At 40.8% G+C, this 22,002-nt stretch overlaps 1 protein-coding gene across 4 annotated transcripts in view; it reads right to left on the bottom strand.

Moving 5' to 3' along the window:
* ACO1 (aconitase 1) overlaps positions 1–22,002 on the bottom strand; it is a 70,127-nt gene that overhangs the window by 23,697 nt on the left and 24,428 nt on the right. For all 4 annotated transcript variants that reach the window (NM_001278352.2, NM_001362840.2, NM_002197.3 and 1 more), the window contains 10 exons: positions 12,876–12,945; positions 12,562–12,745; positions 11,896–12,035; positions 10,046–10,217; positions 7,654–7,754; positions 6,408–6,524; positions 5,076–5,235; positions 3,637–3,772; positions 1,570–1,654; positions 499–655 (listed from right to left, as the gene is read on the bottom strand). In NM_001278352.2, the coding sequence (NP_001265281.1) occupies positions 499–655; positions 1,570–1,654; positions 3,637–3,772; positions 5,076–5,235; positions 6,408–6,524; positions 7,654–7,754; positions 10,046–10,217; positions 11,896–12,035; positions 12,562–12,745; positions 12,876–12,945 (1,322 nt within the window). The remainder of the gene's footprint in view (positions 1–498; positions 656–1,569; positions 1,655–3,636; positions 3,773–5,075; positions 5,236–6,407; positions 6,525–7,653; positions 7,755–10,045; positions 10,218–11,895; positions 12,036–12,561; positions 12,746–12,875; positions 12,946–22,002) is intronic.

Here is a 22,002-nt window from a genome sequence, read left to right as displayed (position 1 = left end):
CAACTGTACGTCTAAAGTTATGATTTCCTAAAAGTAAATTTCAGAGGCATTGTTTTCATATTATCTATTCGGCTTAGAATAGATTGAGGCAGGCAGAGCAAGCAAGCTGATCTGGGGAAAGGAAATGATGTATCATTTCTTTGGAATTCTGAGAAGTTGAAATATCTGCAGTATGTTTCTACAGAGTATATATTGAAACAATGCCTATCATTAAAGTGAGAGCTAGAAAGGGAGGAACTACAGAAGAAACCAGAATAGCAAGATGTCTATTCCTTTTGGCACCTGTTTTCCTTTCGTTATCCTTTACCCTCAGTAGATTCTTGTTTTAACTACTGCAGTTAAGTCTTAGCTGTATATTGGGGAATAAAGAAATTATTCTCTTCTTTGTCTTATCCCTGGAGGCTCTATGCTTCATTTCTTATTAAGGAAAGCAGTTTCTTCTAGTAATATTTCTGAATTCACTGGAAAAAAATTATGGCTGCACAAACAAAATCTTACCCAATGGCTCTTTCTCAAAGTCGATTCTGATGGTTCCAGCAATTGCATATGCTATTACTAAGGGGGGAGAGGCTAAATAGTTGGCCCGGGTGTTGGGGTGAACTCGACCTTCAAAATTCCTGTTTCCAGATAGTACTCCAACAGCTACAAGGTCTCCCTGAGTAAGGCAAGAGAAAAATCAGGTCACTAAAAGATACTGACTAGGCTTCTTGTCTCAGACCATTGGCAAGAGTTTCCACATCGCAAGGATACAGTCCTTTAAGCTGCCCTTTCACTTGGTTCTCTCCCACTAGAGGGGAGAAGGGTACACTGGGGTGTCCCCATGGGAGATACTCTGGGTCAAAGGAAGCAGAGACATGTTTAGTGATTTCTGCTCACGAGAAAATATCAGGTAGTTAGAAGGCAACATACTAGTTATTGCTGCCTGGGGCCCAAGAACAGGTGGGAAAGACCTAACAGTTGATCGTTAAAGGAAGTCACAATGCACAATTATAGAATACGTAGATTCTATAATTAATGCAAAGCAAACCAAATAATATCTTTCAAGGTTCAGCATTTTGGGGATAAAAATCAAGCCAAAGCAATTTAGTTTAGATTCGTTTGTGTGGAGACTTGTCTCACTTTGAACCAATTTTCAAATTATTTGGGTTGGTGCAAAAGTAATTGTGGTCTTCATCACTGAAATGGCAAAAATCACAGTTACTTTTGCACTAACCCAATACCTATAACAAACAACTGTAGAGCCCTTTGTAGTGAAAACCAGCCAGTACTGAGCACTTGAGTGCCAGACACTGCACTAAGTGACTTATGTTTATCATCATCTTAATTCTCACAACTCTATAAAATAGATACTATTATCATCTCCAATATACAGTTGTGAAAACCCAGGCACAGATAGGTTAATTAACTTGCCCAAGGTTACCCAGCTAGTAATTTTAACTAAACTCAAAAGATCATACTCTAAACCACATCCCCTGCTTCCATGGACCTTCTTGAAAATATCAGCATTTTTGTCACATTACATGAAAAGAAACAACTGCTCTGAAGACCTGCAGGGACCTCTGCAATTACCTGTGTGATGGCTTCTACCACAGGTTCAGGTAAAGGCCCACTGTTGCCAATGCAGGTCATGCAGCCATAGCCCACCACGTCAAACCTAGACACCAAGAGAGAAGCACACACACACAAAAAAAGAATAACTTTCAGTGAGCCCTTCTGCTGGCCACAGTTTCCAGAGACCACTGTTCAAAAAGGAATTGCAGTGCATGAACTAAGTTCAGTATAGTGCTATTTCTAAAAGTTTCATTCTTGAGAGCATTCTGATATATAACATAAGAATACTATTCATATTTTTAACTTATAAAAAGGAATCAAATTGAATGAGCAACAATTTAAAAAAGTTGAAATCATATATGCCATATCTTCATTAACTACTATTATTGTATAATCCTAAGGAGATTTGAATTTTATGAGGCACATGAATAAAATATATGTCATAAGTCAGGAATAATATGGAAATTGGAGAAAGCGTATTTGGCAACGAATACATTCATGCACTGCACAATGTTTCTGTTAGTGATAGACCACATATACCCAAATGTATATGTGGTATATAGCTGAAAAATTCCTATCACCTAGTGATGTTGTAGCCATCGTGATGTCACAGTGCAAGGCATTTCTTGTTTATGATGATGCTGGTATAAACAAACTCACGCTGACTTTTTTTTTTTTGAGACGGAGTCTCGCTCTGTTGCCCAGGCTGGAGTGCAGTGGCGCTATCTCTGCTCACTGCAAGCTCCACCTCCCAGGTTCATGCCATTCTCCTGCCTCAGCCCCCCAAGTAGCTGGGATTACAGGTGCCCGCCACCACGCCCGGCTAATTTTGTTTTTTTGTATTTTCAGTAGAGACGGGGTTTCACCGTGTTAGCCAGGATGGTCTCGATCTCATGATCTCGTGATCTGCCTGCCTCAGCCTCCCAAAGTGCTGGGATTACAGGCATGAGCCACCGCGCCCAGCCATGCTGACTTTTTATTGTTCTTTTAGAGTGTACTCTTTTTGTTTATTAAAAAAAAAAGCAAACCAGTTAAGTGTAGAACAGCCTCAGGAAGGTTCTTCAGGAAGTATTCCAGGAGGCATTATTATCACAGGAGATGACAGCTCCATGGATGTTATTGCCCCTGAAGACCTTCCAGTGGGACAGATGTGGAGGTAGAAGACAGTAATACTGACAATCCTGACCCGGTGTAGGCCTAAAGTGTGTGTTTATCTCTTAGGTTTTTTTTTTTTTTTTTTGAGACAGGGTCTTGCTGTCACCCAAACTGGAGTACAGTGGCGTGATCATAGCTCACTGCAACCTCAAACTCCTGGGCTCAAGCCATCCTGCAGCCTCAGCCTCCCGAGAAGCTGGGACTACAGGCATGCACCACCATGCCTGGCTAATTGTTTTACATTTTTTTTTTTTGTAGAAACAGGGGTCCCACTATGTTGCCCTGGCTAGTTTCAAACTCCTGGCTTGAAGCAATCCTCTTGCCCTGGCCTCCCAAAGCACTGATATTACAGGTGTGAGCTACTGGGTCCAGCCTGTCTTGGTTTTTAACAAAAAAGTTTAAAAAGTAAAAAAATAAAAACTTCAAAAATAGGAAAAAACTTATGAAATAAAGATATAAAGAAAATATTTTGGAACAGCTATACAATATGTTTGTTTTAAGCTAAGTGTTTTAAGAGTCAAGAGTTTCAATAAACTTAAAAGTTTGTAAAATAAAAGTAAGCTACGGTTTACATTATTGAAGAAAGAAACTTTTTTTTATTAAGTTAGTGTGGCCTAAGTGTCCAGTGTTTATAAAGTCAACAGTAGTGTGTGGTAATGTCCTAGGCCTTCACATTCACTCTCCACTCATTCACTGACTCAACCAAAGCAACTTCCAGTCCTGCAAACTCCATTCATGGTAGGTGCCCTAGAGGGCAAGAGGGCTCTCTTTAGATGGAATGTAAGGGTTTAAGTCTAACTACCAACTGATAAACGACTATGCAATTAGATATCATCAGATAATCTCACATCTGTTACAAGGTGACACAGCAAGATACATGAGGGATACAATTCAACAAAAGCAATGGTGCAAAAGAAAACTCTCCCTCACCCAAGCTGAGACAGATAAGGCATGACTCCGCTTTCTTGTAGGTAGTAGGTGACCACGCCACTCCCAGGAGACAGGCTAGTTTTGATGTAAGGCATCACGTTCAGGCCAGCATCCACAGCTTTCTTTGCTAACAATCCTGTGAAATGGTAAACACAGATGCAGTGTGGGAGGCTGCCTGCTCTAGGTGCCAGGCACACTTCAGAAAAGAGCCTGATTTTCTTCAGTCTGCATTTCCTGCCACCACCTGACCACGCTCCCTTCATGTTGGCGCTATCTGCTGTTTCTGCTGCCAAACAGAAATCTAAAGGCTCCCTGGCCAACGGTCATTTAGATATATGCAGTAAACTCAAAGCTAGGCAAGGAAATGAAGAAAGAGATTTGCTTACTTTTTTTTTAAAGAGATAAATGTAAAACCATTTAGGAATATATTACAAAATGAGTTTTTAATTTTTTTTTTAGAGGGAAAATCATCTTTCTAATTATGTTTTATTTGGATGAAAATCATCATTGAAGGAGCCCTTTCTGAAACTATATCAGCTGTGTGCTGGCTGGCAAGGAACGGTCAGCCAAGAAGTAAAAATCGAGTGTTCAGATATATCTTGAAGTGGAGGATCTGCTGGACTTTGGCAGATACAGAGACTGCTACTGGAACACTGGGTGCTCTGTCTTAGGAAGTATCACAGAAGTAGCAAAAACATGAGCAGTGGGGGTGGGGACATGAGGGGACAAAAAGCCACAGACAAGCTGGTAACTTGTCTACAGAAGACTGGTTTGCTCCAGACCAGACAAGGAAAGCTTAGGTGGCAATACACGGACTCAGGCAAAGAAGGCTTTCCTAATGCCCGTGTCTGCTTCATAGAAAGGAACTGCTGACACTGTCTGGTCTGTGGATGGATATAAGAGGAGCTTTGGGGATGACTAAAAACTTGGAAACTAAAGAGACCTTATAGTAGGGAAACCACATATGTAAATATTAACAACTCAACCAGAATTGCGAAACAGGCCAGTGGCCCCAGGTTTTATCAGCCAGTGCCCTGTGCCCTCACTGAGAAACACCTCCCAGCATTCACGTCAGAACTCAATCCTGCTGCTCAGGGGTTTCACGGAGAACAAAGTCTGTGGTAACACTTTATTTTTCTTCCAAAGTCTGACACAAGAATGTAGGCTTTCCCAGAAATCCAGCTTCCTTTGCTTTCCTCTACTTATTTTCTGTGTTAATTCTCAAGAGAGACTATTATGCAGTGTGCATTCGATTTTAAAAACTTTGCTTTGGATACTATTTATTGTGTAGATATTTATGGGCCAATAAATATCTGTATCTGGAAAAGACGAGGTTCAGGGAACTACATGTACAACTCCGCCAAGGCCCTGGGCCCTGTCTCGGGCTATTTCCACCTACACACATGTATGACCATGAGGATGGAGTCAAATGCACTTACCTGCCCCTAACATCACAGACGGATTACTGGTGTTTGTGCAGCTAGTAATGGCAGCAATGACCACAGAACCATGAGCAAGGGTGAATTCAGTGTTATCATAGATAAAGGTCTTATGGTCATTATGATGTTCAGGAGCAACTTGGAATCCTTTAAATCCTTGCTAAAGGAAGAAAAAATGTATATTATATAGGAATATATTTATATAAGATATACATGTATCTGGCTAGAGGAAAATACATACATATAGTCAACAGTTCTCACTTGAGAAGAAGGAATACTTTGGTAACTATAATTTTAAAGGCCAATTCTTAACAAAAGCATAAGTATCTCTGCAAGTAAACTCTGAAATGCTACAGAAAAATTACTCGTTTGAAATCTTTACAAAAAGCAGTCATGATATCTGAGTCTTACTCTGCACTGAAATTAGTAACAATTACTTCCTTCCCACCTCAAAAATGTAAATGCTAAAACTACAAATTTAAAGTTAGTCTAAATTGAACTCAATGACATTATTGTACAGTTTAATGGATATGGACTGATTAAGACTATGGATTCTAACCTTATGGAAATTTAGAAAAAGGCGCTATTTTGACCAGACTCAATTAATCATGATCAACAACGCAAACAAAGTACAGCTGAATATTTGGCATAATACTGGTGTCTCACAGATAAAATCCATCATACATCTTAATCATTCTTTTGGGAAATGTTCATTGAAAATCTACCGCATGTAAGATACTGTGCTAGGTACCTTGCGGGCTCCCAAGGTGATTCAGACACAAATCCTATTCTCACACGTACAGTCTAGCAACAGAAATCATACATGCAAATAAAGTACCAACAATGTAAGTTAAAGAATATGGAATGCTATCGAAGTATTTCAGCCCAAGCACCATGAAGTGTCCAATAAGGGAAAGGGGACTTTCTGCTATGAGATTCTGAGAACCCAATGCAGAGTAGCTGGTATCTGAACCAAGTCTTATGGAGTTCACAGAACAGAGTAATATGAGTTGGAGAAGAGACTTTCAGGCAGGGAGGGGCATGCACAAAGGTGCAACAGCTAGAAAACCTCGGGTGAGTAAACAGTGTGGTGAGGGTCCTGTGAAAAGCAGACATGCTTAAAAAGGTGGGTTGAGTTGTGTCTATGATGGCTCTTGCCGCTTGGCTCGTGACTAATGGAGGAAGTCATTAAGGACTTCAGAAGGAAGAATAAACACCCTCAAGCTTCAGGCTACAGGAAGATTCATGTCAAGTGGGATGAAAGCCTGGACGCTGAGTAACCAGGCAAGAGGTAGAGTTGAGAGGATTCAACCTCTTCCCGCAGGCCCCTACCTTGGCTCCAAGGCAGCTCTCAAAGTCCTTTTTCATGTCGGACACAGCAACTTTGTCCTGAGGCCTTTTGGGTCCACTACAGCAAGGCACTACTGTTTTCAAATCTAATTCCACAACCTGTTGACCCCAAAGAAAAGAAATTATAGAATTTACATTATACCCACAAAGAGGAAACCCAAAGCATGTCAGAGAATTTAAAACATGACAACCATAAAAATAAGCAAATAAACTACCACATTCCAAAACAAGGAAGCCAGTGTTTCTCTTAATCCTCTTAATTAATCTTAAGTGATTAATTTCCCAAGATCATCATGGGCACTTAAGTAGCAGGAGACAGGCAGGCAGCCTTGCCACCTCTCAGAAAGAACAGGGTGGGTGCTGCAGATGCTCAGTGTCCTCCACTCGCCCATCCTTGGAGGCAGCTCATCGCGTTTTATATGGCTAAGTTAGGCCGAAGGTGGGTTTTCTATTGAAATCATACATAAACCATTACACTTCTAAGGTGATTTCGGAGGGATGCAGCCGTTAAGTTATCAACACCAGGAAACGGGCCTTAGTCTAACTGAACATTTCCCCTCCTCAATGTATTAAGAAACCAAACATGGGTCGCAGGGCTAGTTTACCTTGTTGTCTAGAAAAACGTGGATTCAGTTTACTGACATGTTTGTACCTTCACTTCTTTCTAGGTCTGTAATAATGATGGTTTAGCCTTTAAACAGCTCTTGTTCCACTAGTGAAGTCTCTTTATTTTTCTTTATATTTCAATAGATTTTTGGGGAACAGGTGGTGTTTGGTTACATGAATAAGTTCTTTAGCGGTGATTTCTGAGGTTTTGGTGCATCCATCACCTGAGCAGTGTACACTGTACCCAAATTTGTAATCTTTTATCCTTCACCTCCCTCCCACCCTTTGCCCTGAGTCCCCAAAGTCCATTGTATCATTCTTATTCCTTTAGCAAAGTCTTTCAGTGGTCTTCCACATTAAGAGGTGTGAATCAGTAGTTCAAATAGGGAAGCACACTTAACCTACAATTATTAAGCCAGTAGGAATGTAAGAAGTTATATTATTCTGTTATGTTTACAATTGCCTTATCCTTTTGGTTTTTCAACCTTCTAAAACTCCGTTCTCTTGTAATGCCTTGGCAGTGACTAATTTCCTACTAGCGCATTCCCCCAAGAAAAACCACCACTAAAATCGCAGCCTTGAGGAAGAGGAAATACATGCACAGTGGAAGGCACTCTCATACCTGGGTGAAGTCTGGGTCTTGAGAAGGGTCATTGAAATCTCGAAACATTCCTACAGCCTGAAGATATTTTTTAATATACTTTAATTTTTCTTCATCACGACCTAAAAGGCATTTTAAGGAGTAACAAGTAACATAGGTTAGTATTTCCTGGTTGAAGTTTATAAACTGATACTTCCATTAGCAATTATGTAAGTACGCAACATACGCTGCACTTACACACACACCAACAGCTCTGTCAATTTTTAGGCTTCCAGGCTAATGGTTTGACTCTCCCACTGATGCTGCTTTTTATTAGGGGCCATTAATGAATGTGCTGTTCCTATCAAAGTGACTGTTTTCTGAAAAAGATTCTGGTTCTATCTATAGATAACCCGCCTCTTTTGGGGTATAGCCTTTAATTAGGAGAATCTTACACCTGAGCTAATTGTGAAAGCACACCTATGCATTTGCCTTCAACTGGCCACAAAGATTCAGCATTCCACATGATTACCGTTAAAATTAAAACGCATCCCAACCCCACCTGAAACCACTGGCTACTGAGCACTTTCTGGGCACTGTGTCCTAAACATTTTAAATGTATTACCTCAATCTCTAATCCTTTATCATAGTCTTAAGATACAAGTACAATTATTATTCTCATTTATGGATAAGGAAATGGCGGCTCAAGAAGACTAAGTAACTTTCTCATGTAACACAGCCAGTAAACGGTAGAACCAAAATCCAAACCAGAGCTTGACCCAAAAGTTCAAAGTCTTAACTCACGATGCTGCATCACCAGGAATATGACCTTGAACCCTCTGCTATTTAACTTTTATCAAGATCCCGGGGTAGGAGATAATACTCATGAAGTATGCCCAACGGACATGCAGTCCACAATTTCTCTGATGGTTAGAAACAGAAGGTTTGATCCTTTGGCTGATCCTACCACTGATCAGAACTTTTGTTTGTCTATTTGTTTTAGCTGAACTGTAAACGTCATTAGCTCTCAGCACAGACCTCATAAAAGACAGCTGTATGAGCTTCACTAATGTATTTGTCCTGACCTGTTGTTGAGCCCGCTGTTCACTACAACCCATGCCATGCTCTTCATGAAGATGAACAGGAGAAATCTTTCTTAGGGTTTACTATGAGAAAGGGCTACACTATTCTGAAGCAATATGTTTGTTTCAATTTAATAGATGTTACAAATTTGGCACTGGATTACCAAGAAGTATAATGGCCACCTGCAGCACCACGGGAACTAACCAACTAACCTTCCCTCTAGATCCATCTCACAGCTTTTATCCCTCTACCCAGCACACTATCCCTCTCTTTCTTTAGGTTGATTCCCTCAATTATTTATTCTGTTCTTTTAGTTATCTTTTTCACTTAAAATCCTTTGGGAGAACAAAGATGTATTAATCAATTTCAATGTGTTTATATTTAATAAAAACTTCTTTAAATAAACTTTTTCATGACAATCTTTACTATTTCTAGAGGAATTTCCTCAGGCTACAGCAGAAGACTAAGATTTATTTGGAGTCTGTAAGATTCTCATGAAACCCTTCCCATGGCTGTCCCTTCACTTCATCCAGAGATCTGTGCAAGCACCTCTGGGGTACTTCAGCCACCTCCCCTTTCTTTCTCATTATCACATCACACTCTCATTTCTTTTCTTTTTTCTTTTTTTTGAGACAGTCTCTCTGTTGGCTAGGCTGGAGCGCAGTGGTGCGAGATCGGCCCACCATAACCTCCACCTCCTGGGAGTTTCGCCATGTTGGCCAGGCTGGTCTCGAACTCCTGACCTCAGGTCAGATCTGCCTGCCTTGGCCTCTGAAAGTGGTGGGATTACAGGAGTGAGCCACCATGCCTGGACTCATTTCATTTTTTAGACATCCCTGAGAGGGGTGTTGCAGAGTGCTGTTCCTGTATGGGGCCAGGCAGTTGCAGGGTTGGATTCTGACTCTGCTGTTTATTAGCCTTGGGTATGAACACTTCTCTGCTCCTCAGTTTTCTCTAATGTTAATTAACTAGTCAATCAATCTACCCTACAGATCTGTAAAGAGGTTGACAGCAAATACATACTAGGTACCTGGTACACAGCAAGTACCCCATAGGCAGCAGTAACCATTACTAAGATCACTTGTTTAATGTCAAAAAACTAGTAGTAGAGGACCAGTATAAATATCCAGGCTTCTGTAATCTCTGAGCTCTTTCTATTGGCCATACCATCTCTATCTCATATTAACTCCTTAAATCCCAAAAACCCATTTTGACTCCATGGAGAAAAAAATAATTGTGTAACTGTAACCCAGTGCCTTCTGTTGGGTAGAGGCAGAAGGCAGTGCTCAGATTCTTGGTGTTTCATGGAACTTTTACAAAAAGCCCGATGCTTTCAGGGCCCTTCACTTACCTGTTTGCACCAGGTACGTGATACTAACTTCATCAACTGGGAAAAAGGCAGCAGTTGCTCCGTACTCTGGACACATGTTAGCAATCGTAGCTCGGTCAGCAATGGACAACTGGGCTACTCCAGGCCCGAAGAACTCGACAAATTTGCCCACTACCCCAACCTGGCGGAGGTGCTAAGCAGCAGAAACAACAGAAAAGTTTGAGATCTGATGGCCCACATTCAAAATGCAGAACTACCATCTTGCACTTCTTATAAACTAGTCTTGTCAGTAAACCCAAATAGTAAATCAGCCCAACACATTTGTGATCACTTTCAAAACTTAAAAAACAATGCCAACTAAATGCAACATGGTATCCTGGATTGGATTCTGGAGCAGAATTCTGGGACATTACTGAAAAAACTGGTAAAGTCTGTAGTTAAGAGTACCACACCAATGTTAACTTCTTAGTTTCGATAAATGTGCCATGGTTATTTAAGATGTTAACATTATGGGAAGCTGGGAGAAAGATAACAGGAATTCTCTGTACTCTTTATACTAACTCTCCCATAAATCTAAGATGATGTCAAATAGTTTTTATTTATAAAAAGAAAGACAAAGTGTGCCCAAAATACAAATGATATTAAGAAAAATATTTCAAGATGAGAAACATTCTCTTTCTCTAATGAGATCATTGGAAGCGTCTGGAAGTGCTACATATTAAATTCTTTCAACCTAAATAACTACTTGCACTAGTTAAGAAAATAACTTTTCAAAGGCGTAATGAGCAAAATTCATGCTACAAGTATAAGTCAAATGTAACCAAAAGATTCCCATATCTTTTCCACACAAGGCACCAGCCAGGAGTGAGGCCACAGTGACTGACTTAGCTCTGCATAAAGCCAGTTTCTAGCTACAACCACACAGATGGGCTCTTTTGGTAATATGGAATTCTGCCAAATTTTGTGAGGAAGTCCTGTAGTATTCCACATCTTAAGAACAGTGCACAGACATTTGTGATAAGCTATGGTATTCAAATAAATCCAATTCAAAATTTCACAAAAATTAAATCAGAGAGAAATGTGTTTTGCACTTTAACGATAGCATGTCCATGCAAAGGACCCCAGCCTCCAAACTATAAAAGCAAAAAAAATTATGTTTGTGATCATTAAAAACCATTGCTTTTGCAAGAGTCTTCCAAAACGAAATGGCCTTTTTACAAAACAAGCAAATCACAGAAAAAGATGGTCTCCTCTAACAGCTACAGAAAAAGCCTAATACTTTCCAGCTTGGTGACATATATGTTACAATAATGTAACTTATAATACAGAGAAGAGAATTTAAAAAGTAAAACTCTATTCATGGAACTACCTTGCTATTTACATAAAAGGAAGAACCATGTGGAAAACATGTAGTGAAAGCATAAACACATGCATGGGAATGATTCTTACAACCTCAGGATAGTGATTATTTCTAGAAATGGGGAATGTGGCTTTAGCCACAGATATTACATATTATTTCTTTAAAAACACAGAGAGCTCTGAAGCAACTATGACAAAATGGTATCATCTGTTAAATCTAGGTGGTGGGCATATGAATGCCATCTTAATTTCTGTATCATTGAACTATTTCAGTTTAAAAAATTTCCTTTAAGAAAAAGATCGATGCAGCAATACTAGAAGAAAACAAACATAATGATCTAAACTTAACATAGAACACTTCCCTTACCTCATCTCCTTTTAAAATCATCAACCTTGTTTCCTTGCATTGCTAGAGCACTTGGAAACCAAACAAGATTCCATTATGTATTCCCTCCATTGGAAAGCTATCATTGTGGCTTTCCAAGACCACAGAAGAGGATGCACATTGTTACCTTGGTAATGGTGAGCACGATGTCAGTGGATGTTACCAGAGGGTGGGGCTTCCCCATCAGCCTGTAGCCAATCACCTGAGGAAGCACCATACTGATTGGCTGACCCAGCATGACAGCTTCTGCTTCAATACCACCGACACCTGCAATGAACGGCATGACCGGAAGAATGCCTTCATTACCCCTTACTCTATCTCTCAGGTATAAATTTAGTGACATTAACAGGTAATAAACCCAGTTACAACGTTTAATTGGTGCAGAGTCATGTTTCTATAAAGAGCAGTTATTTTTTCTCCATTTTCCTTTATAGAATTTTTTAACAAATGTTTCTCAAAGCATGGTCCCCCAAACACCTGTATCAAAATCCCCTTGATGCCACATGCAAAGAAGAGTAAGCTTTGGGAGTCTCTATTTTTAACACCCCAGGTGATTTTTGTGTATGCTAAATGTACCTAACCCCTTGCTTCTGTTCATTCTTCCAAGCATAATTATTGAGTGCCTGCTAGGTGCAAAGTGATTCTCTAGGCACTGGAAAAACAGCAGTGACAAAACTGACAAACATACCTCTCGGAAACTTGTGGTCATGTAAATTCATGTTACTGAGATGTAATAGAATCACAGTGAATTAAAGTGCATGCCCCAAAACAGCATATATGGAAGAACACTCACCCCAACCAAGAATGCCCAAGCCATCAATCATGGTAGTGTGCGAGTCTGTGCCCACGAGGCTGTCTGGGTAATAATATCCATCCTGATCAAATACCACTCTTGCCAAATATTCCAAATTCACCTGGTGGATGATTCCTGAGCCAGGGGGAATAATCCGCATGTTGTGAAAAGCCTGGGAACCCCACTGGGATTGACAAATGGAAAGAACACTATGAACGCGTGAAGTACTTCTACTCAGCCCATCTCCTTGGCATCTCTCCCTCGTACCCTGCCTACAAAGAAAACCAAACAATGGAACCAGACCCTGCCCATACCTTTAAAAATTCAAATCGCTCTCTATTTCTTTCAAATTCCAGGTCTTGATTCTTCTGTAAACTGTCTGCCCTGTCAGAGAGAAAAATTAAATGTATACAATTTGAGACTTAACATATTAGTGGTCAAATTTATTGGTGATGAAGAAACAAAATGGAATTGCATCTCCTTGCTTGCTGAGTGATAATATGAATTTCATTCATGACTATTTACAATGCAGAATAGGAGAGGTAACTAGTGAAAGTAAAGAGAGTAATTATTGTTTGGTTCAAGTGATTCCTACAATGCCTTTAACTATGGTAGGCAGAAAACATGAACTGAATTGAAGTTAAAACTAATCTAATCATAAAGTCTGACTCTTAGGAACAGACTCAAGACATTCATATGACAACAGCAGCCTGGACATTTAAAGAACTCTTGTTTCTATACTCCTCATCCATGACCTCATTATAACATCTCTCTGACCTGGAATGTGTCTGGGCTGGTATTTTCATCTCTTTATGTTGGGAGACAGAAAACTAGCAATGCTTAGAGGATCAGTACCTTATAGAATCACAATCTCCTGTGTGTAGGACCAAGGTTTATGAGGAAGATGGTGTCACTTGATAACATCTGTGAACCACAGATTATACGCTAAGATTTACTCAACGTCATTCAGTCCATCAGGACAACACAGGGCACCAAGATTTTCTAGGATTTTAAAAATCAAACTGCATTGTTTTGAGTCAAGGTAGAATAAGTCATAGTCACAAGATCGCAGATTCAGCACACAGAATGTGCTCATAAAGCATGTATCATAGGATTGAGTGAACACAGGAAAGGCTAGTAAAATTAATAGCTAAGACCAAAGTCAGACTTCATTAATAAATGAAGTACTGGATAACTACTTCCTAGTACCCAGTAGTTAACACTTTTTGACACTACTAGGAACCAGCAACTATTCTAAATGCTTTGTGTTAATTTTCTCATCTAGTCTCCATAATATCCCTTTGAGTTAGGTGCAACTAATAGCCACATTTTTCAAGTGGGGAAACTGAGACACAGAGAGGTTAAGAAACTTGCTCAGGACCACAGACACTAGTCAGTGGTGGAACTGGGATTGAAACCCAGGCAGTCTGACTCCCGAGTTGACACTATCCTTTAATCCCTATACCACATGGACTTCCCGTCATAGTTAACAGCGACTGTGGCAGTAATGGTGGCAGTGGTAGTTAACACCACCACAGTAACAGCAAGAGCTAAAGGACAACATTACGTTGTGGGCGCTCAGAGCTTTACACATGTGAACTTATCATCACAACCCCTCATGTAAATACTACTGTCATCCTCAATATCCAGAAGCAGCAGCTGAGGCACAGAAAGGTTAAATTTGTCCAAAGTTAGACGATAACACAGTGCTGTTATCTGAGCCTAGGTCTGACTGGCCCTGGGGGTTTCTACCTTGACCATGATACTCTGCTTCTCACTCACTCTGATCCTCCCCTCCCCCAGAGCCTGCCACATGCTACATGCTGAAAATGCAATGGTGCAAAAGCTGTGTGCTCACTGCCCACTGGCACTCTGAGTCTGGTGAAAGGGCAATGGCAAAAGAATGCAATCATCACTGCCTGGTACGGGAGCACTTGGAATGGGCCATGAACCCACCTGGGGGTGGGGGTTGGGGGGATTGGAATGCTTTCCAGAAGGACATGGTATCAATGTGGTCTGAAGGATGACGGTGAGTCAGCCCGAGCAAGATGGGCAGACACTCCTTGGGAAAAAAGGGACCGGAAGCATGTGTTATTTACCTCATAGAAAACACATCTGGAGCCGGGCACAGTAGCTCGCACCTGTAATCCCAGCACTTTGGGAGGCTGAGGCGGGCAGATCACGAGGTCAGGAGTTCAAGACCAGACTGGCCAACATGGTGAAACCCCATCTCTGCTAAAAATATAAAAATTAGCCGGGCATGGTGGCAGGCGCCTGTAATCCCAGCTACTCGAGAGGCTGAGGCAGGAGAATCACTTGAACCTGGGAGGTGGAGGTTGCAGTGAGCCAAGATCGCGCCACTGCACTCCAACTTGGGCGACAAAGCAAGACGCCATCTCAAAAAAAAAAAAAAAGAAAACATATTTGGTTACCACACAGATTTTTTTTCTCTTGATATGAATATTCTCCAAGACAAGTGTTGGTTGCTTTAATAGGTAGGATCAATTCCTGAGACTGCCTAACATGGGCTGGGGTCTACAACCCAGCCCATGGGCCAAATGTGACCCAATGCCCATATATGCTTGGCCCTCAAATGAAGGATGATTTTTACATTTTTAAAGGCTGGGGTGTTGGGGGGAAGAATATGTGACAGAGACAGCATGTGGCCAGCAAAGCCTAAAGTATTTGCTATTGGCCCTTTCTAGAAAAAGTCTGCTGATCCCTGCCTGAGTGAATGAGTGTCTATTTGTGTGTGTACATGTTCGAGAAGAGCAAAAGAGGGAGAGAAAGGAGGGACCCCGGGATAGCAGAACAAGGCAGGACACCTGCACCGACACCGGCATCAGCAGACTCTGTGGACCCTCTGGACGAGACACAGCTGCTCCTCAAGGTACTCATCTCGACCTTCTTAATAGTATGCTGAGGGCTCCATCACTCCAGTTCCCACCTGTCTCTACGTCCAGATCTATGTTTCCAGTGTGTTTCGGGCATGCGCACCAAGAATACTTCAGGCACCATCAACTCAATGGGTCAAACCCTGATGCTGGGCTTTCTTTCCTAAATCTGTTCCTCTTCCCTGTCTGTCCATATCTAATGAGCTCTTTTCCCACCACTTAGTACCTATAGCTATCAAGATATTTATTCCAGAAATAGCCTCCCAACCAGCTGCCCTGTGAGGCCATTCAATCTACCTTTGGTATGGTCACCTCAATCATTTCTAAAATATAAATCATCATGCACCAGTCTGAATCTACCAATGGCTTCCCATTTTCTTATAAAGTAAAAATTCCTTGTCTTAAAAACCTAAGTCCTTCAACCTGACCTCAGCCATCCTTTATAAGCCCTCTCCTAGCCTCCAGTCCAAGCTCTCAGCTTCAGCTACACTGTAGCCAGCATGCTCTTCCCACCCCCACTTTCCTCGTGCCTTTGCATGCTCTATTTGCTCTGAGTGGAAGGTCTTTTTCAGCTCTTCTCTCCTTGGTAAACAGGCTCAGGATCCAGATCAGGTGACGCTCCTTGAAAAACCCACAGACTCCCCAGGTCAGGATGATTTGCCCCTTCTCTGTGGTGACTACACTTATCAACTGCATGAAAGCTGTGTGTTCACTAATTTCTCTCCCCTTCTAAACTATAATCTGTTTCTGGAATAAATACTGGCACATAATAGATCTGCTAAATGGATTTAATTTTTTTAAAAAAGGAAAGCATCTCTGACCTTGATTTCTACCACTACAGGTAAGATTATAACCACATGTGGCCCCTGCCTCTCCTCCCCATCTATTTTGCTATACTGTGAGCACTTATGGACTCCTAGTCATTGTCCCTGATCTTCCACCCTCCAGCACCAGGAGGATGGCAGAGCTTCTCACAGCAGAAGCATGACTGATGATTGACGGAGGAATGTTTACCCCAGAAAATGCTGGGGGTATCAGTTTGATGGAAGTGACATGTTCATAGGACGTGCAGAAGCCAGAAATGCTTAGACTGTTTCATGATACAGTAATTCCAGGTAAAACCCTATTTACTCAGGAAAACAAAACATCTATTATATGGAGCTTGGCTCAATTAGCCTAGTTCTAGTTACTGGAATGAATAGACCTAGCATTCAGAATTTTCTACCACTCAGAACTTCCCTAAATTAGTCTAATCTAGTGAGCTTTTAATAAGGTCTCTAAATGTGAATGGCCTCACGGACTAAAGAGGAAATTTCTTAGTTCATTTGAATTCAGAATTGAATGTAGTTCAGTTTCTGAGAATTACATTTAATGGAGCTCCAGAAATTCACGGACAGTATTAACATGGAGATAGTTTTCACATTAATGAAATCTGGTCAGAAATGTTATGAAATTCTTTTTTTTTGAGACGGAGTCTCACTCTGTCGCCCAGGCTGGAGTGCAGTGGCGCAATCTCGGCTCACTGCAAGCTCCGCCTCCTGGGTTCACGCCATTCCCGGGCCTCACTCAGCCTCCCAAGTAGCTGGGACTACAGGCGCCTGCCACCACACCCAGTTAATTTTTTGTATTTTTAGTAGAGATGGGGTTTCACCGTGTTAGCCAGGATGGTCTTGATCTCCTGACCTCATGATCCCCCTGCCTCAGCCTCCCAAAGTGCTGGGATTACAGGCATGAGCCACCGTGCCCAGTCACTGTTATGAAATTCTTGTTGGAGGAACAAAAAAAAAAGGTGAGGTAACTTTGTAAAATATCACAATAATGTATTAGAACTTCAACTTCTAAAGATGGTGTGAAGCTAATTAGTATTATTCAAACTAGGCAAAGAGCTTACAAACATTTAACTGAGACATTTACCACTCTACCACCCCTTACCCAGTTTTTCTCACTCATTTCCAGAAAGAGCTGGAAATTAGCCCACAGCACACAGTTTCACAGAGTTGAGACATCACATTTAATTCCTTACAAAAATGAGGAGAGAGATCATGAGGTTAAATTGCAAAACCACAACTCAAGAAATAAAAACAAAATACCACCAATAAAAACACTTCTAAAAGATTTTTTTTTTTTTTTTTTTTGAGATAGAGTCTCATTCTGTTGCCAGGCTGGAGTGCAGTGGCACAATCTCAGCTCACTGCAACCTCCACCTTGCAGATTCAAGCGATTCCCCTGTCTCAGCCGCCTGAGTAGCTGGGACTACAGGCATGCACCACCATGCCCGGCTAATTTTTTGTATTTTAGTAGAGACATGGTTTTACCATGTTGGCCAGGATGGTCTTGATCTCCTGACCTCGTGATCCACCTGCCTTGGCCTCCCAAAGTGCTAAGATTACAGGGGCGAGCCACCGCCCCGGCTAGTGTTCACTCTGATTTTATATATACATGTGGGTTTGCTAGATTTGGTTATCAATCTAGGTCAAAGTTCACCCTTGGATTTTGCTGTTTTTCATGTTTTCAGTACATGGTGTAAATGAAAAAGGTCTATAAAAAACTGAAACCACAATTGATTAGAGTCAAGGTCTAAAAAAAAAAAATTACAGTGAACTTGGTGATGACCCAAGTTCAAGATGCATTAACAGCCATGAGCTCTTTGAATTTTGAGTCAATAGAGTTTAGACATGAAAACTATATTACAATTCTGTCTCTACCTGTACTTTCACCTTCTAGGCAAGCAAAATGAAGGTAAACCCATCAACATTAATGAAAGACTCCAAGAAAGATGAAACTGGGCATGAATTTATGGCTACTTTCCTAACTTCTGAAGTGGGTCTTTATCCTATCTCAAACAGGATAACATTTTACGCATATATTTTAAACTCTTCCATTTGAAACCAAAACATTAAACTGAGTTCACGTGATTTAGGAAAAAAGGAAGGTTGGGGAAGACATATTGCCTTAGGACAGGTTCAGAGTCCAAAGGAAAGGGAAGAGTTGGCGAGTACATGGTCTGTTCCAAGTACCATCAATTCAGGGGACAAAGTAGATTTCTCTTTATCCTGAATTTATCTGGTTTGGATGTTAGCAATATTAACTGGAGAAAGATCATTTTCTAAATTTCTTTTGAGGCTGCCAGGAACTCAGTTACATCCCCAAGGAAGCAAATAAAGGTGTTTTTGTTTCCCGTTGAGTGGTTTCATATTCTTAAGTGACTTAATTATAAAAATAATAGCTTCTTATTAGGAAAATGAAGACAGTTGCAATCCCTGAGATAACTGCTTAGCAACTTGGCACCCTTTCCAATCTTTTAATTCCTGCATCATTTTCCATGTAGCTTATGTCACTCTACATATGCAATGTAGCATCTCGCTCGTTGAGCTACAATGTGATCATGTTCCAAGTGTTATTAAAGACTTCATAAATTAAACTCTAAAGGTTACCTAATGATTCACTTCAGGGGTATACCGTAATTTAATAAAGCATTTTTTGTTGGACATTTAGAATGTTTCTAGGCTTCATTTATAAATAATACTTTAATAAACATTATTGGCCATTAAGCTTTTTCTGAAGTCAGCTATCCAGATTAGCTAGATGTAATGGTGCATGCCTGTGATCACAGCTACTCGGAAGGCTGAGGTGGGAGGATTGCTTAAGCCCAGGAGGTCAAGGCTGCAGTGGACTGTGATCACGCCACCCCGGTCTAGGGAACAGAGTGAGAACCTGTCTCAAAAAATAAATAAATAAATAAATAAATGATATAAAGGGTATGCTTGGAAGTAGGAATTCCAGGACAAAGGATATAGAAATTTCTAAGGTCTTAACACATATTGCTTTAATCCTCATTTCTAATTTATAGTGCTATCAGCAGTGTATAAAAGTGTCTCCCTTATAACACCTTCATAATTAATATTTTCTAATCTCAACTATATTGATAAGAAAATGACATCTCAAATATTTACTTTTTTATTCCTTGTGAGATTGAAAAACCTTTATATACTGTTTACTACCATTTGCATTTCCTTTTATTATGAAATGTCCACTTTCCTTTGCCCATTTATCTTCAGGGACCTATTATTTTTCTAAATGGATTATAGACACTCCATATATTAAGTATATTAACACTTTGCCATATTTTTCAAGTTATTTTCTCTTAACTTTGCAGTAACTAAATCTATACCTTTTTTCCGTGTTTCATTCGTTGCTTCTAAATTTAGTCTCATCAAGACATCTGACACGCATACATTTCCTTCTAAAACTTTTAAACATTCATAAGAACTGCTCCCTCCACTAATCAATTTCCAGCACTGTATATGGAAAAGTTATTTCTCCCACTGATAGTTGTTTTGACAACTTTAGGTAGTCATACTTCTAGGTTAAGATAATAGCCTCTTAAAAATACCTGATTGCCCTCCCTGTATCAAAACCCTTGTGGTGTAATCTTGAAGTTACTTCCACCGAAGACGGGTGGACTGTATTTCCCCATTCCAGCTTTGGGCTCAACCATGTGATTTGCTTTGATCAATGGCACCGTGAACAGAAGTGATGCTGTGCTGGTCCTTAGCTAGGCCTTAGAGATACTGTGTGTTTTCACTTGCCCCCTTGAGTCTCTGTGGTCACAAGACAGCTGCTTTCTCCTTTAGCTTGGACCCCAAAAGAAACACACATGGAACAGAGTTGTCCCGGCTGCCCTGCAGATGTATGGTTCAGTGTAAGCTCCCAACCTGGCTACTGCAGTGCAAAGCAGAGCTTCCTGACTGTGCTCACCTAGGTCAGCTGACCTCCCAAACAACTAGAAGATGTGTAAGAAATAAATTCTTACTGTTGACTGCTGTTGAGATTCTGGGACTGTTATACAGCAATAGCTGATTTTTTTTACACCCATCTCTACATTGAAATCTTCACGGTTTTGGCTGGTACAAATTCTGCCTTTTGGAGAAAAGGACAAATGGTAGAGTTTCTTCTGACTTCATTCCCATCTGTTGATTACCATTTTGAGCCAAAGGGCAAAGATGACTAGATTCTTTTTTTTTCAAGTTTAACTTCATCAGGTACTCTTTTTTTTTTGAGACGGAGTCTTGCTCTGTCGCCCAGGCTGGAGTGCAGTGGCACTATCTCTGCTCATGGCAAGCTCTGCCTCCCCAGTTCACGCCATTCTCCTGCCTTAGCCTCCCAAGTAGCTGGGACTACAGGTGCCCACCACCACACCCAGCTATTTTTTTTTGTATTTTTAGTAGAGATGGGGTTTCAACATGTTTGCCAGGATGGTCTTGATCTCCTGACCTTGTGATCCGCCCACCTCAGCCTCCCAAAGTGCTGGGATTACAGGCGTGAGCCACCACGCCCGGCCATCAGGTACTCTACTCTTATAGGCCTTATCAAATCACTAAGTGCTTCTCTTAGATTCTACTATTTTCTATGCCTTTTTGTGTATCTTACAAAAGACTGGGGCTTTATAACAATGTTTAATATCCTGATGCCATTTTAACCCAAAGACTCACTCCCAATACTTCCAACGTAAACCAAAGGCTTTTAGAGAGTGAGATTTAGGGATAAAAGCTCATTAAAATAAACTGAGTCAGGAAAATTGACCATTACTACTTGGCTCCTAACCTCACAAAACTTAGTCATCTCTTCAATGGGCTAGGATTACAAATGGTACACATATTTTGATTAAGAAGTATTCACTTTCAAAGTTTGTTAAGAGGTCAGGCCTAAGTTGCTAGTTCACAACTGCATATTCACATGTTCAGTTCTCTTCTTTGTAACACATTTTATTAAGATTTTTTTTTTTTTAAAGACAAGGTCTCGCTCTGTCACCCAACTGGTATGCATGGCCTAACCTTCTGGGCTCAGGTGATCCTCCTGCCTCAGCCTCCTAAGTAGCTGGGACCACAGGCACACACCACCACACATGGCTAATTTTTAAAAAGTTATTTGTAGAGATATGGTCTTCCTGTGTTGCCCAGGCTGGTATCAAACTCCTGGGCTCAAGCGATCCTCCTGCCTCAGCCTTCCAAAGTGCTGGGATTACAGGCATGAGCCACTGCACGTGGCCAACGAAGACATTTTAATATGCACACCTTTGGATGCTAAGGATGTGGGGATGGATTTAAAAAAACAAAAACAGCAACAAAAAACCTATCCTCAGAGTTGTTTAGTTTTTCCCCACCTAAAGGTGTCATAGACCATTAGGTGTCTATATTCAGGCTTACCAAGATTCTCACTTAATCGAAGAATAATTTCAAGGTCACTCAATTTAGGATATTAAATGCCTATTTATCTGCTCAGCTCTTGCATTCAGGGAGCTGAGAGTCTACTTACCAAGTCAACTCAAGTGACAACTTCCCTTCAAGGGCTACAGGCCCACTCAGGACACTAAATCATCTGGCAAACTGAAGAACAGGGAGCTTCGTAGGCTGGAAAGTAAAGGATTCCTAACAGAATAAGATTTAAGCTGGCCTTGAAGGACAGGTAAGATTTGGCAGGAACAGAGGAGAGGATGTCCCAAACAAAAGAAGAAACACAGGGAAAGAAAGGGATAGGCATTATGGAA

This window comes from Homo sapiens, chromosome 9 (assembly GCF_000001405.40).
Source record: "Homo sapiens chromosome 9, GRCh38.p14 Primary Assembly".
Lineage (NCBI taxonomy): Eukaryota > Metazoa > Chordata > Mammalia > Primates > Hominidae > Homo > Homo sapiens.
This window is presented reverse-complemented; position numbering and strand designations above follow the sequence as displayed.